Source organism: Homo sapiens, chromosome 10, assembly GCF_000001405.40.
Source record: "Homo sapiens chromosome 10, GRCh38.p14 Primary Assembly".
NCBI lineage: Eukaryota > Metazoa > Chordata > Mammalia > Primates > Hominidae > Homo > Homo sapiens.
In genome coordinates, this window is record NC_000010.11 from 4,873,801 (window position 1) to 4,890,446 (window position 16,646).

At 41.2% G+C, this 16,646-nt stretch overlaps 1 pseudogene across 1 annotated transcript in view; it reads right to left on the reverse strand.

The window, feature by feature from the left end:
• The window catches only part of AKR1C6P (aldo-keto reductase family 1 member C6, pseudogene), a 44,607-nt pseudogene that overhangs the window by 2,134 nt on the left and 25,827 nt on the right, over positions 1-16,646 (reverse strand). The window contains exons 4-10 of the transcript NR_026743.1: positions 16,037-16,204; positions 14,285-14,401; positions 13,538-13,614; positions 11,180-11,293; positions 3,655-3,764; positions 2,837-3,002; positions 2,171-2,253 (exon numbers count right to left, since the gene is read on the reverse strand). The product of NR_026743.1 is annotated as an aldo-keto reductase family 1 member C6, pseudogene (transcript). The remainder of the gene's footprint in view (positions 1-2,170; positions 2,254-2,836; positions 3,003-3,654; positions 3,765-11,179; positions 11,294-13,537; positions 13,615-14,284; positions 14,402-16,036; positions 16,205-16,646) is intronic.

A 16,646-nucleotide genomic window follows, 5' to 3' on the forward strand; every position in this document is an offset into this window, starting at 1 on the left:
ATAGTAGATATCCAAGTAGAGGCAAGTAGACACATATACAAACCTTGCTCCAGAGCCTTGAACTGGGCTGGATATGATTTGGGGAATCTATATTTAGATGATATTTGAAGCATGAGACTAGATGAAATCAACAATGATGTTAAAGTAGATAGAGAAAGGAGAAGAGGTCTAGGTTGAGCTCTAAGTCACTCCAAAACTGAGAGGTCAAGCTAATGCAGAGAAACCAGCAAAGAACATTAGAAGAAATGGCAAGGGTTGAGGGTATTTACAAGGATGTTGGTATATTGATTGACCCCATAATTTAAGTAGGCAAAGAAGGACAGAGGGCACATTAGAGGGTCAAGTAACAGTGAAAAGGTGGTACGGTCAGTGAATTATAGCTCATGTGGTAATCAAAGGATTGTTGAAGTTGGCCATGTAGAGAAGGAGCGGGACATGTAGGAGGTGATGACTATAGTGTAAGAATTTAAAATTGACATCCAGGCATGGTTATAGTAACTCGTAATGACAAGGTCTAGAATGAGACCATTAGGTTGATAGGCTGAGTTAGACTGAAGGATAAACACATTGGAAGAGGAAAGTCACAAAACTGAAAGATCAGACTATTACAAGGACTGTCTCTGTAGTGTTGAAATCAAAAGAAATTATGGCAGGTCTACTGTTGGAGAGGATGAAAACTAGGAACTAAAATCTTCGGTGGATGAGAGAAGACCTGGGAATGCAGCCCTGATGACTGCAAAGGACAGGGGTAGTGCTGGGTTTGTCTGATGACACAAAGTCCAGAGCTGAATGCTTTTAGAAAGAGAGTTCCTACTCAATATTCAGGCTTAGCACTACTAAGGTCTTGGGAAGGATAACAGCCCCAACTGGAGAGGGCTGACAGGAATCAGTGCTACCAAGAGAAATGGGGTTTCAGCTATTGGGAAAAGGTGAAAAGAACATTTAGAGAAGACAACAAAGATAAAACGGTTTTGCCAGTGGTTGAGTAGGAGTTTCAGAAAGCACAGTGAAAACATGTTGAGGTGGTGTACACAGAGCTATTTGGGAACCAGGAATTTTAGGCTCCTGTAGTGACTGAACTAACAGTGACAAAGACCATGTTAGCCTCAAGGGAGTTAAGGGGCTGGTTGGCAGGGGAGGATGGGAGTCTGTCCAGGAGCTACTGGATTGCTTGCTCTTCCCGTGTTTGGAGATGTTTACATACATATATGTACTAAATGTCACTGAACAGAAAAAAAAATAGCTTACAGATTTTTCTCTACAGCCTTCTGAGAATCATAGAGTCTAAAAGTTTGAAGGGCCATTAAAAGTCTATCTTTGGAAATAACTTTTTTCCTGCCATTGGATTTTCATTATCACCTCCATTTGCTTGATACTCAGCCTGTTCCCTTTTTCCTTCTTGATTTTCCGAACCTGCTTACTCTTTACTATTGAAAACCCCCCCAGACCTGAGCAAAGTTCTGAACATTGTTCAGAAACCACAGCTGAAGATCCACCCCTGTGGCCAGCCTTGCAAGAGAGCTGATTCAGGTTCAAAACCTGAATCAGAGGGGGTGGGCTTTGTGATGGAAATTAGAGAAACATGAGAAATGTTGAAATTTAGAATCAACATGAGAAATGTTGAAATATAGAATCAACAGGACTAGGTGGTTATTTAGATGTAGGGGATGAGGTTTGTGCCATAATGGTGATGTGTGTAGTATTACCATGAAGAGTATATATAGAGAAAACATTGAAGGCTTTAATTTTAAGTGTATTAAGTTTGAACTGTGGGAATAAATAGAACTATCTCTAGGGAATTTTAATTTAAAAGAAAATCAGTGGGCTACAAGAGACCAAGAAAAATGTCTAGGTTAGAGATAGAAACCATGGAATTATTAGCATGTAGATTGGAGGGAAGCCTAGTGATGAGGGACACACAGAGGCAGTGTGGAGCCAGGAGAGCCCAGTCTTAAACGGGGAGCTTCCGTCTCTATTGAGTTCTGCTCACACTCTTGTCTGGGCAGAGCTATGAGCCTTGGAGAAAAAAAAATGTCTGATATGAAGTCTGAAGAAAAAATGTTTTCCAACAACTTTCCTAAGCAACAAACCCTGCCTTCTGTGGGCTGAAATCAATGGAATTCCCCCACTGTCCTGCTCCCTAGTGTCAACAACGAAACAAGCTACTTACATAGACATTTACAAATGGCATATATTCTTGTTCAAGCCATCTGTGGTTTTCATGTCCTCTGGTGTCAGCTAGAAGTCAAAAACCTGTCAGAAACGTGAGAAGATCAATTTAATATCCTTGAGGCAATTGCTGTTCCTCTTCTCCCCTCTCCACAAACAGACAAATCCATGTAGGACTTTGTGTAGGTTTTATGAGTGAGTTTTCATGGACCAAGGATTCATTCAGTGGCATGTCATGGGAATTTGTCCATTTATAAAGTTGAGATTGGCATGGTTAATCTTCCCTCAGATACTTTTATTGGGGAGCCATCATGATAGCAAAGAAATCCTAGAGAATTTTAAGCCCAAACCTCACGTGATCTAATTCCTTTATTTTACAGCTATAGAAATCAAGGGATGACTTACCCAGCGCCATACTATAGGGGAAAAACCCGGATTAGGACCCTCTCCTGACCTTCTCTTTAGTGTCCTTTCCAACCATCACACTCTCCCTTGCAGCAAGGGGAGACAAAGCAATTAAATATGGTGCTTATATGCTTATATGCATAGAATGTAAAAGGAGATAAGCTTTGCCCAAATATACCTTGAGAGCTTTGCAAAAACTCAGATACCGTGGGGAAATGATGTGCCTCTGTCAATCCCCTGCTGCCACCACCATGCCCTGTACCTGGAAGTTTTCTTTGATTCTCTTCTCATTGAAGCTCTTCACCAGGACCACCACCCCGCGCTGCAGCTGGTAGCACAAGGCAACCTGGGCTGGAGTTCGCCTGGGCTTTTCAGCAATGGCATTGAGTATTGGATCCTCCTGGAGAACTGGGTTTCCTTTTTTCACCCTGAGAGGAGAGGCAGAGGTGCTGCAAGTCTGAGGCTGAATATCCATTTTACTTGCGGGCTGCTTATTTTGGCCAGGGATGCTAATCCTCCAGAACCTTCCTCATTACCTTCTGGCTGTCTCAATATCTGTTTTGCATCTTTTGTTATAACCAAAGAAGGACAAAGGAATGGAAGGTGGCAGTTCTATTTAGTTCTTATAATGTAGGTCTGGGTTAGGTAAAAGGTTTACAGATGAATTTATTCCTGCTGTCTATTTTTAATTTTGCCAGCTGATTGAGAGATTACTTCGGAAGGTACAGTATCTATGATTAAAATAACTTTATAGGCCAGTCACCGTGGCTTACACCTCTAATCCCAGCACTTTGGGAGGCCAAGGTGGGAGGATCACTTGAGCCCAGGAATTCAAGACTGGCTTGGGTAACGTAGTGAGACCCTGTCTCTACAAAAATGAAAATAAACAATTAGCCAGGCATGGTGGTGCACTCCTGTAGTCCCAGCTACTTAGGAGGTCTAGGAGGGAAGATCCTGACTTGAGCCTGGAAGGTCAAGCCTGCAACAAGCTGTGATTGTGCCCCTGCACTCCAGCCTGGATGACAGAATGAGACCCCCACCTAAAAAAAATAAACAAAATAACTTTATGAAGATGATTACCAGTCTTTGTCTGAGTCAGACCCCAAGGCAGAATATGCAGTCATGACAATGTCCTTGGACTTACAGTACTCCAGGAGTTTGCTTTGGTTGAGGTAAGGGTGATATTCCACCTGCAGAATGCCAAGCAGGAGAATTAGGTTACAGAACCACCAACACCAAGCTTACCAGGGACATGCAGTGCTGCATTGCATGGTATCAGACATCTTTTAGAATACCAGCAACACAGGCCAAGCCATGATTGTCATCCACAGCTGTATGCATGAAGCTCCCAAGGGCTTTACTTGGGATGACAGCCCATGGAGGGCATAGCAGTATTGATTAAATAATTAACTCAGTGCTCTTAGATGGCAGGTTGTGCACAAGGCCAAAAGAGAATTTCAGTCTTCCAGACTGAAAACCATGGTGACATCTTTGGTTCTTGCTCATTTATTGTTGACGTATAGCAAGCAGCAATTTCTGCCTTTCTTAGTTATTTAATCTCAGTATTCTTTATTTTTAAGGAGTATTCCCATTTTGTTCATTGCTGCAACCCCTGATAGCCAATAAATCATCCCTCAACATTTTTTGGCTTTATGAATGTATAATTGTTATATGAAAACATGCACACACTTAATGGATACATCTGGATGGATTTGGGCATGTGCATATACCTGTGATACCATCACTGCAAACGATGCATTAAACATGCCCATCACCTCCAAACATTTTCTTATGTCCTTTTGTGTGTGGTTTTGGTTTTAGTTTTTGGATTTTTTTTTTTTTGCAAGAACACTTGACATGAGATCAACTATCTTAAACATATTTTAAAGTATGCATACTGTTAATAACAGGTATAAGGGGTTAATATCTAAACTATGTAAAAATCTACAATGCAATAGCAAAAAAACAAACAAATAACCCAGTTGAAAAATGGGGGAAAAAAAACTTGCATAAGCATTTCTCCAAAGAAGTCATCACTCCAATTTGAAACAGTTTTTCATCAGGTTATTCCTTGGCTGCAGGAATGAGAATGTTTTCCTCTTTCCTAGCACAGGACATTGTGACATCTTTGTTTGCTCCTTACCTCCCCCAACAAATGGCCCCACTCAGACTTATGGTGCCCATACACTTCCCGAAGCTCCAATCTTGTCCCATGGGGAAAGGGATTTGGAAAGGCTTCTGGCCCTTTTATCATCAAGGGGAAATAAATTGCTACTTGTTTTCAGTCAGAAAAAAAGTTACTGGTGTTATTACATTTACACATTACTAGTGAGAGAGGTTTCTGTGCTGCAGAAGGTATTTAGTGGCACTATAATCCCACGTTTCCATTTTTCTCACTTCCATGCACATGGAAAGTCAGAAACCAGGATCCATCACTGAATTTTAACCATTTTTTTCTGCTCCCTTGTCTGGGTGACATGTGAGCCAAGACCATTGCCTTCACCATGGGATGGGTAGTCTAGGGACCAGCTCAGCACTAGACAAAAGGGGCAAGTGTACTTTAAAAAATACAATTAGCAGACAATTTTTAGAGCAGTTTTAAGTTAAGAGAAACATTGATAGGAAAGCACAGAGTTCACCATATCACCTCTCCCACCCACCCTTACCCCTACTCTCTCCTCTTATTTAAGTTGTATTAGTGTGAAACATTTGCTACAATTGATGAACCAATATTGATACATTATCACAGGGTTCACTCTCCATTGTACATTCTATGGGTTTTGACAAATGTATGTCATGTGTATTAGTCAGGGTTCTCTAGAGGGACAGAACTCATAGGATAGATGTATATGTAAGGGGAACTTATTAAGGAGCATTGACTCACACGATCACAAGGTGAAGTCCCACAATAGGCCGTCTGCAAGCTGAGAAGCAAGGAAGCCAGTCTGAGTCCCAAAAACTCAAAAGTAGGGAAGCCGATAGTGCAGCCTTCAGTCTGTGGCCGAAGGCCTGAGAACCCCTGACAACCCACTGGTATAGGTCCAAGAGTCCCAAAGCTGAAGAACCTGGAGTCTGATGTTTGACACCAGGAAGCATCCAGCACATGAGAAGGATGGAGGCCAGAAGACTCAGCACATTCTAGTCCTTCCATTTTTCTCTGCCTGCTTTTGTTCTGGGCATGCTGGCAGCTGATTAGATGGTGCCCACTCAGATTGAGGGGGGGTCTGCCTTTCCCAGTCCATTGACTCAAGTGTTAATCTCCCTTGGCAACACCCTCACAGACACACCCAGAAACAATACTTTGCATCCTATAATCCAGTCAGGTTGACACTCAATATTAACCATTGCAATATGTATCCACCACTACTAGATCATACAATATGGTTTCACTGCCCTAAAACCTCTGTATTTTACCTATTCATTCCTCCTTCCCTCTCCCTGAGTCCCTGGAATCCACTGATCTTTTATTTTGAGCAGTTTTAGGTTTACAGAAAAAAATGAGAAAAAAAATGCAGAGTTCTCATATATACCTCCATACCTCTCTCCCCAATCGCCCCAATTATTATCTTACAATAATGTGGTATATTTCTTATAATTGGCCAGCCAATATTGATACATTATTATTAAGTAAAGTCCATAGTTTACATTAGGGAATATTATTTGTGGTAACGTTCTACGGGTCTTGACAAATGGATAATCACCGTTACAGAGTCTATGAAATAATAATTACACACCCCTAAAAATCCCCTGTGCTCCACCTACTCATCCATTTCTCCCCCAACCCCTGACCTGACAACCACTGATCTTTTTACTGTATCCATTGTTTTGCATTTTCCAGAATGTTACAGAGTTTGGATTAGATAGTATGTAGCCTTTCTAGATTGGCTTCTTTTACTTAGTAATGTGTATTTAAGGTTTCTCTATGGCTTGATAGCTCCATTTGTTTTTCATGCTGAATAATATTCCATTGTTTGGATGTAGCACAGCTTATCCATTTACCTGCTGAAGGACAGATTGGTTGCTTCAAAGTTTTGGCAACGATGAATAAATCTGCTATAAGCATCCTTGGGCAGGTTTATGTGTGGGTATATGTTTTCAACTCATTTAGGCAAATGTCAGAAAGCATGACTGCTGACTGCTGGATCATGTGGTGAGAGTATGCATAGTTTTGTAAGAAATTGCCAAACTGTCTTCCAAAGTGGCTGTATCATTTTGTATTTTTGAGAGTGGCAGGATGCAGCCAAATGCCTAGGCAGATAGGGGTGAGTCCTCAGTGAAACCCCACCTCCAACCCCAGCACAGTTTAAAGCTTGAAAGCCAAACTACAAGTTAAATCCTCAAACCAGATTGAGAATTTGTCTTCCTGTTTGTCGCACTTTCCTGTGATTGATCCCATCCTTCACCTATTTTACATATACCTAGCCTTTCCTAATTGGTTTTCTACACTGTCATGTCCACCTTTGAGTGGTATCTTCACTTTAACCTTTTTTGCATACTCACAAACCAATCAGCATGCACTCCCCCTTCTGAGTCCATAAAAGCCCCAGACCCAACCACATGGGAGGACTTTCCTGCCTTTGGGTAGGGGGAACAACACTGCATCCCATCTCTGCTGAAAGCCATTTTCCTCGCTTAATGAAATTCTTCTCCTCCCTCCACACCCTTCAATGTCCAGCATATTCTCATTCTTCTTGGGTGCGGTACAAGAGCTCAAGAACCACCAAACACAGGTACAAGCTATAATATAGGCAAGCTAGGGCACACCAGCATGGCCGAGTGAGGCCCAGGTGGGGCATCACCAGCTGGGGATCTTTGACTTGTAAAGTGACCAAAAAGAAAAATCCTACATCATTTTCACCAGCAATTAAGAAGAGTTTCAGTTTCCCTATATTCTCATCAGTGGTTGGTGTTGTCAGTGCTTTGGAGTTTGCCCATTCTAATAAGTGTGCAGTAATTAATTTATGATTGTCTAGTGATACATGATGTTTAGCAACTTTATTGGATTATTTGCCATCTGTATATCTTTGTTAAACTGTTCAGATCTTTTGCTCATTTCTACATTGGGTTGCTTATGGTTTCTTAACCTTGAGTCTTAAGATTTCTTTGTATAATTTGGAAATCAATTTTTTATCAGATATATGTTTTGCAAATATTTTCTCCCATAAATGGTTTGTCTCCTCATTCTCTTGGCAGTGTCTTTCACAAAGCAGAATTTGTTAACTTTAATGAAATCCAGCTTATCCATTCTTTCTTTCTTGGATCATGCCCTTGGTATTATATCACCATACCCAAGGTTTTCTAGTTTTTCATTTATATATTCTAGGAGTTTTATAGTTTTGTATTTTACCTTTAGGTCTGTGATCCATTTTGAGTTAATTTTCATGAAGGATGGAAAGTCTGTGTCTAATTCCTTTTTAAAATGTTTGAATGTGGATGTCCAGTATTTCCAGCATCATTTGTCAAAAAGGTTATTTTCTCCATTGAATTGCTTTGCTCCTTTGTCAAGATCAGATGACTGTATCTGTGTGGGCCTATTTCTGGGATCTCTCTGTTCTGTCCCATTGATCTATTTGTCTGTTCTTTCACCAATACCACACTGTCTTTATAGTATCTCTTAAAGATGGGTAGTTTTAGTTATCTGACTTTGTTCTTCAGTATTGTTTTGGCTATTCTTGGTTTCTTAATTTTCAGTGTGAACTTTAAGATTAGATCATTGGTATTCCCAAAAATAACTTACTGGTAATTTCATTGGGATTGCATTGAATCTATAGGTCAAATTGTAAAGAACTTACACCTTCATATAGCATCTTCCTACACATTTAAATATAGTGTCTTTTCATTTATTTAAATCTTCTTTGATTTCTTCTTCAGCGTTTTAAAGTTTTCCTCATATAGATCTTGTCCATACTTTGGTTTTTTGTTTTGTTTTGTTTTTTTGAGACAGAGTCTTGCTCTATTGCCCAGGCTGGAGTGCAGTGGCATGATCTCTGCTCACTGCAACCTCTGCTTCCTGGGTTCAAGCGATTCTCCTGCCTCAGCCTCCTGAGTAGCTGGGATTATAAGTACGTGCCACTATGCTCAGCTAATTTTTGTAGTTTTAGTAGAAATGGGGTTTCACCATGTTGGCCAAGCTGGTCTTGAACTCCTGACCTCAAGGGATCTGCCTGCCTCAGTCTCCCTAAGTGCTGGGATTACAGGCATGAGCCATCGCACCCAGCCCACTTTGTTAGATTTATACCAAAATGTTTCTTTGTATGGTGCTAATATAAATGGCATTGTGTTTTTAATTGTAAACGCCACTTTTTCATTGCTGACATATAGAAAAGCAATTGATTTTTGTATATTAACCTCATATACTGCAACCTTTCTATAATCACTTATGAGTTCCAGGAGATTTTATTGATTCTTTCAGCTGGAATTGAGTATTTCTTTTCCCTCAGGTTAGATTCAAGTAAAACCTCAGGCATAGGCTCTAGTAAAATATCTTCTGCTGAGGTCAGGCCCTTTTAGGAAAACATGGCTGCTTTGGGCTCCTCCAGCCGGAAGCATGAGGGAAATTTTCTCTGGTATTCACTGAGAAAACTTGGTAGGCTCTAGAGGTAAAATTCACAAAAGCGTGGAGGCCTCCATAAGAATGGATGTCCCTGGAGCTTTTCTCTCTCAGACTTGTTCACATTGAGCTCCCAGCAATTCATTAATAACAGTGTAGGTTTTCCTACTCAGCACTGGCCCCAGCTGTGGTTTTTGCTTCCTGGCTTCTGCAAGGCACTGATCATGTCTCTATCAGCCTATCCCTCCAAGTTTTGGAGGCAGCATTTTGCCCTGTGACCTCAATTATCTGTTGAGTCTAATTGTTAGTTTTCCATCTGTTGAATTGCTTACATTATTTGAGGACGTGAGTAATGACTTTCCAGCTTGTGATCCACCAGCCCAGAAACCAAAAGTTTAGTAAATGAACTTTTCGCTGCATATTTTTCTTACTCTTTGTTCCCTGACTCCAGTGATTTGATAAGAGGAATCGACAGAGATCCAAAGAAAAGCAAGAGACCTCATTAAGGTTCACTTGAAGCATGTTCTCCCACGCAGCCTGCAGGCAAGGTCCTGCACTGGGTTACAGGGGCTGGGTTAGTCATCAGGCACACACCAATTTTCTATGGAACTGTTGCATGTGTGTTTGCTTAGTCATGGACACTAAATGGGAAGGAAGGGTAGTTCATTAGACTCAGGGCTTAAAACCTACCTGGACCCTGTAACCCCTCACCTGAGCTAATTTCTCACTATGATCAGTTTGCTGCACATAATTAACCAGTTGTACTTCTACTCAAGCTTCCTAGGCCATGTAAAGTCCCTCCCAGCCAATCAGCCTTCACTTGGCCAAATTCCTTTCACCCTTTAGAGTTCAAGGTAATGTCCAAGTTCCCCTTTGGGTCTCCATCAACTATTGAACTCAAAACCTTTTTTTTTATTTCTCTAAATTGATTATGTCCAAAGTGGAGGTAAATCTCCTAAGGGTCACAAAAGAAAACTTTTTAGAACTCCTATTTGTATTTTTTATCCAAAAAGATGAAATAAATGAAGATTTACTAATACTCAATTGTAAATTGATAATCATCCTTACTCAGTCAGCATGTAAGATGTTTACACAGAGATATGACCACCTGGGTGAAGTGTGAGTCTTCCCCAGCACGGACAGATTGGCAGTTCTTCCTACAGTCATGTGACTTCCTTCACAATCCTCCAGGATACTGCAGTTTATATGTTGCCCATTCAAGTGGCTTTATCTTATTGAGTAGACTTTAAAAACATCTTTATATTTTTTATTGTGGTTAAACATCCATAACATAAATTTTACCTTTTTTTTAAATCAAGGGGTTCAGTTTGATATTGATTTTTAGTTTTTTCTTTGAAAATACTCTCAGACTTACAGAATTGTTACAAGTAGTTCGAATAACTTTTGTTTAAATGACAGAATTATTACAGAGTAAGTTGCTAACAGGTTGTCCCATCATCTCTCAATATTTTAATGTATATTTCCTACAAACAAGGAGAGTCTCCTAATAGCATAATCACAGCCACCACAATCAGGAGGTCAACACAACTGATTTTGATGATCTCATGCTTAAACTTTATCATTTCAATGATTTTTAAGTGCCTAGTTTAGTGACATTCAGTGCATTCACATTGTTAGGCAACCTCACGTAATCCAAATTTCTCCCAAACTTATGAAAAGTGACTGTTTTTAAAAGACTAGTCTGAATCCAAACAGTCCCTTTTATAAGTTTGGGAGAGATTTTGTATTTTGGAGAGGCTCAATGGTTATTTCATGGCACAGCCCTTAAAGGAGTTGTCAGACATAAAAATGAATCATTCATTTTCTTTTACATACAAATTGATTTGAAATTGTTTTCCAAATTTGCTGAACTTTTCTGTTATAAGAAGTGGTTGTCTGCCGGGCGCAGTGGCTCATGTCTGTAATCTCAGCACTTTGGTAGGCCGAAGCGGGTGGATCACCTGAGGTCAGGTGATCGAGACCAGCCTGGCCAACATGTTGAAACCCTGTCTCTACTAAAAATACAAAAAATTAGCTGGGCGTGGTGGCGGGTACCTGTATTCCCAGCCATGTGGGAGGCAGAGGTACATGCTTGAACCTGGGAGGCGGAGGTTGCAGTGAGCCGAGATCGTGCCACTGTACTCCAGCCTTGGCAACAGGAGTAAAACTCTGTCAAAAAAGAAAAAGTGGCTGTCAGTCATTCACTAGCTCTAACTTCTAGAACAAACTACTATAACACCTAATAGATTATACTCTTAGTATTTAAAAAAAAACCTTAGATTTTTTTGATAAAGTGACATGGCCTCATGCACTGTTTTCAACAACTCAGAATGTGTTCTCTTCCCTTGAAGCATCTGATGTTCAAAGGTAAAATACATGTGAGAAGCATGTCATAAGTAGCCTTGTCAAATCGAGAATAGAGGAAGCCAAAGAGCAGAGGAAGCAGTTGGTGCGGCAGATGTTTGGGGCTCATCTGGTTGCAGACAGGCTTGTGCTTGAGCCCTGGCTTGTTGAGGATCATTTCCAGTTGCCTGCGGTTGAAGTTGGACACCCTGATGGACTTGGCCAATCCTGCATCCTTACACTTCTCCAGGGCCTGGAGAGGAAGGTGTTGTGAGGAGTAATCTGTATAGCAGGCTAGAGGCAAATAATAAACGTACACACGCTAGGAGTAGGCGAAGGGTGGGAGAGTGTATAAGACAGTGGGAGAGACACAGCCTTGCAAAGTGCAGATGTCAATCAATAAGGCATGAATGGACTGAGTAAGAGAAAAACGAAAAGTAAACAGGTAAAATAAATGGGCACAAAAATGAAATAAAAAAAGAATGTGAGGCCGGGCACGGTGGCTCATGCCTATAATCCCAGCACTTTGAGAGGCAGAGGCAGGTGGATCACGAGGTCAGGAGTTCGAGACCAGCCTTGCCAACGCAGTGACACCCCCTCCTTACTAAAAATACAAAAATTAGCTGGGTGTGGTGGCGGGCACCTGTAATCCCAGCTACTCAGGAGGCTGAGGCAGGAGAATCTCTTGAACCCGGAAGGTGGAGGTTGCAGTGACCCAAGATTGTCGCACTGCACTCCAGCCTGGGCGACAGAGCTAGACTCTGTCTCAAAAAAAAAAAAAAAAAGAAAAAAAGAATGTGAGTGGCCAGGACAGAGTTAAAGAAACCAGCATGGTCTTTAGTGAATACCTAGAAAAGTTTGATGGAGCAATGGCAAAACAAGTACCAACAAGGAAGTGTAGCAGGTGTGGCCTGAGAGGCAGGCCTTCCACCTACAAAACCACCAGCTTCTACTTTCTGACCTAATTCCCTGCACTGTCCACTCACTCACAGTGTCCAGTCTCACATGTCCTCTTGCTGTTCTTGGACATGCTAGTGTCTCTCCCCTCTTAAAAACGTTGCTGTGACCTGGCATGGTGGCTTACACCTGTAATCCTAGCACTTTGGGAGGCTGAGGCGGGTGGATCACCTGAGGTCAGGGGTTCTAGACCAGCCTGGCCAACATGGTGAAACCCTATCTCTACCAAAAATACAAAAATTAGCTGGGCGTGGTGACACGTGCCTATAACCCCAGCTACTCAGGAGCCTGAGGGCAGGAGAATTGCATGAACCCAGGAGGCAGACCTTGTAGTGAGCCAAGATCACACCATTGTACTCCAGCCCGGGTGACAGAGTGAGACTCCATCTAAAACAATAAAAACAAAAGAAAAACTTTGCCTTGTCTTTCTGCGTGCATCACTCTCCCCAGATACCCACACAATCAGTTCCTGCGTCTACTACAAGTCTTTGCTCAAATGTCACTCTTTTTTTTTTTGAGATGAAGTCTCACTCTGTCACCAGGCTGGAGTGCAGCGGCACGATCTCTGCTCACTGCAACCTTCGCCTCCTGGGTTCAAGCAATTCTCGTGCCTCAGCTTCCCGATTACAGGCGTGCGCCACCACACCCAGCTAATTTTTGTATTTTTAGTAGAGATGGGGTTTCACCATGTTGGCCAGGATGGTCTCGATCTCCTGATATCGTGATTCACCCGCCTCTGCTTTCAAAAAGGCCTACCCTGCCACTCTGTTTTTCATTGCCAGTCTGTGCCCCAAACCAACTCCAGCGCTCAGCTTTATTTCTCACCTCCACCCACCACAGCACCTATCCATGCCTGGGCCAGCACCCTGGTTCTCTTCACTGATGTTGCCTGGGTAAGAAGAGTAGAACTTGATACGCTGTAGGCACTCAATGCATACTTGCTGGATGATTAAGTGAATGAAATGTGAAAACAGAGGCAGAGAGACATTCGGGACTCTCCCCAGTCTGAACACTGGGCAGAATTAGACCAGGTCCAGTTTCCTGAATTCCTTGTACATTTTTCCTCTCCCCCACAAGGTGCAGAGATGTTGTGCTCACTGGAGCTGCACTCACCTCCCATGTGCTGCAGAGACCCACTGTGTCAAACATGATCTTTCCCTGTGCATCCGTCAGCAAAAGCTCCTCCCAGGCTGGAACATGGAAAGAAAGAGAGTTTGCACAAAGCTCTGTCTGGCCTCAGCCAAGCTTGGGGCCCATAAACCTTGAGACTGATAGAACCATCTGTCCTTATTCTTGAACAGAATTGTAAAATTAGGCTAACGGCAAAGGAAGTACATGCAGGAAATATGCGTCCTAGAAATGCTTTCGAGCGTTACAGATTCAATAAATCTTGTCTGTGTCAAGGCTAAGCTGAGGCACCTAGGATCCCATCCTAGGCAGACTCTAGGGTGGTATGATGCCCAGCAGGTCCCCTGGTCCTGGATCCTTGCAAAGAGCTCTCTCCCTTGCCAGTGACTTATCAGCATTCAAAGCTGAGTGTCGTCCTCACCGAACTTCCTGTTCGTCAACTGAACTCCACTGTCAGCGACATGGGTTTGAGACTCCAGGGTATAAGAACTTGAAAATGTCGGCAGTACATCCACAACACTGAGGCAAAGCTGTGGATACCAGTGAACTCCTGTCACTCTGGGGCTAGAGTTGTGAACTGACTTTGGAATAGTTTCAGAAAAATAAAAATAAAAAGCACAAGAGAGAATCTTAAAGTATTATTTATCTTCTCATCCTCACAAACTGATTCCTCTCTTGCGTTCAGTTACTAATATTTATGTTGATCACTAAAGTAAAACAACTTGAGCTAACCTGCAAAGGTACTGGGAAATGAAAAAGGTAAAGATCCATGTAGCTCAGCTGAAGTTTCTTCAGTGACATTTCAAGGCCTCTTTGGACCAATTCTGGGCGGGAAAAGGTGCCCCACACCTGCAATGGTTGAAAGAGAAGTTGTGTGAGATTATTTCTTCAAAAGTCTTCGAGAGAGCTTAGTGAAATGGCAAATAAACATCAGCAGCCAAACCCTCTTAGAGAAGTGACAAGTTACTTCCAGTGAATGCATAAGTTCTTAATCATCATAGCAGATTTTCATATGGAATGAAGATGATAAATGTAGGAAAAAAATACGAGTTTCAGCAGAGATTCTCAAACTTTAGAATGTAAAAGAATAATCTGATTTGCTTGTGCAAAACGTATTCCTGGGTTCTACTCCAAACGTAATAAATCACAACATCTGGAGAGTGGACTGGGAAATTGCCTGCCAGACAAGAGCCCGAAGTGATGGTGATTCAGTAGGCTCTGGCTTGACTGTATTAAATGGTTAGGTTTCCCAAAGAATGGCCATAGGGGAAATCTTTTTGGGGTGCTTCTGTTACCTCATTCTAAGCAGCAGTAATCTAGGGGAAGAAATCATCAAAATGACTAAAACTAAGGAAACCAATGTTTCGTACGATGTTTTGTACAAAGGGTCACACATTTAGTACGAAAAGAGAGTTAAAAGATGAGACTGAGAAGGCTACTGCACAGCTAAAGGCAGTCAAATGTCACATGCTGGGCTGGAAGGAGGAAACTTTTTTATCAACTTGCATGGGATTCACTTGCATGGGCCTAAGTGCTGTCTCTGTGGACTACTTCCCGTCACGTTTAAATGTTTTCTGTTTTGTTTTGTTTTTTGTTTTTTCTAGCAGTAGTCAGTTCAGTGAACACTAGGGTAAAAATTGCTTTGGGGTTCCTTTTCCTATCTGACTTAAACACCTAAGTTCTTTTACTTGTTTTAGATATGACGCTAGTGAATATGAAGAATATTATTAATAGAAGAAAATGGCTCAAGGGTTTAAAAAATACATAAGTACATTTACAAACATTAACTTAATCTTCAGAGAAATAAACATTTATTGACCACAAAATAGGTTGAGATGTCACGATGAAGGCTTAGAGAGTTTAAAAAACTTGTTTTTTGGTTAAGAAATTTCACCAAGTCAAATGGAATATTCAAGAACTAAAATTTGATCCTAGTTCATCTGTTTCCAAAGCCTACACTTTCTGACTAAATCACATTACCTCATACTTTAGCTAAGAAAGATTAAGTCAGTTTGTCAAAACTTGACTATAGTAGAGTAGGAAGGGTCAAATCATTTCTGAGTTAAAACATATGATAATAATAACAGCATTTTTGAGCATCTGAAATGTATCAAATACTTTTCAGCAAGATTTATATGTATTTTTAAAAGTGTAACACTCATGAAAATCCTGTGAGATAAATAATACTGTCTCCATTTTACAACTTGGGAAACTGAAGGATAGTATTTTAGTAGCTTGTCCAAGGTCGCACATATTCATTTATTTTTACACTTGCTATAGACTAGGGAAGGTCACACATTTAGAAAGTGGCAGAGCCTGGATTCAAATATTAAAGTCCCATTACAGAATCCACATTCCTAACCAGACTTCTCATGAGGCAAGGTCTGAGTAAATGAAGATTAAACTAATGAAGAGAAATTTGCCAAGGAGCTCTACAGCTAAGAGTGAGCTCTCCACAGAAACAGATGCATTGGTACACAGCACCTTTGTGGTATAGAATATATCTTTTCTCTTCACAGTGCCGTTGGCAATCTTCTTTCGGATGGCCTGCCCGATGCCTTCTTCATTCAGGTGTGTATAAGCTGAGTCAATATGGCGGTAGCCTACATCAATTGCTACCTGGACGGCTTCTTCTACATTACTCATAGCAACCTGGAAGAGCATAAAGAGATAAAGATTTGTTTGACTCAGGAACAGATGATCAATTCTCTTAGCAGAGATATTCAAAAGAACCTTTTTTTTCCCTACTAAGGGCTAAGAGCTACAGGTGGCAAAGCTAAATGTTGAGTAAAAATCAATGGTAAATGTTTAACAGCTAGCTCTGAGGAAGTCCTGGTTTGTAGTATTTGCCAGTTTCAATAGTGTAAATACTCCCACCATGGATAAGTTCAAGCTTGCCAAATTGGGCAAAGATGCTCACAATACACTCTTTTGAGTCCTCATGAGCACGTCACAGTCTTTAAACCTCTATTTATGTATTTATAGAATGTATATGATCTATAGATTTGCACAATCTATAGATTTACATTCCTAACTTAATTTGCTCTATAAGAGATTATGAAATTGGTTTTGATCCAATAATTTAATGCTAATA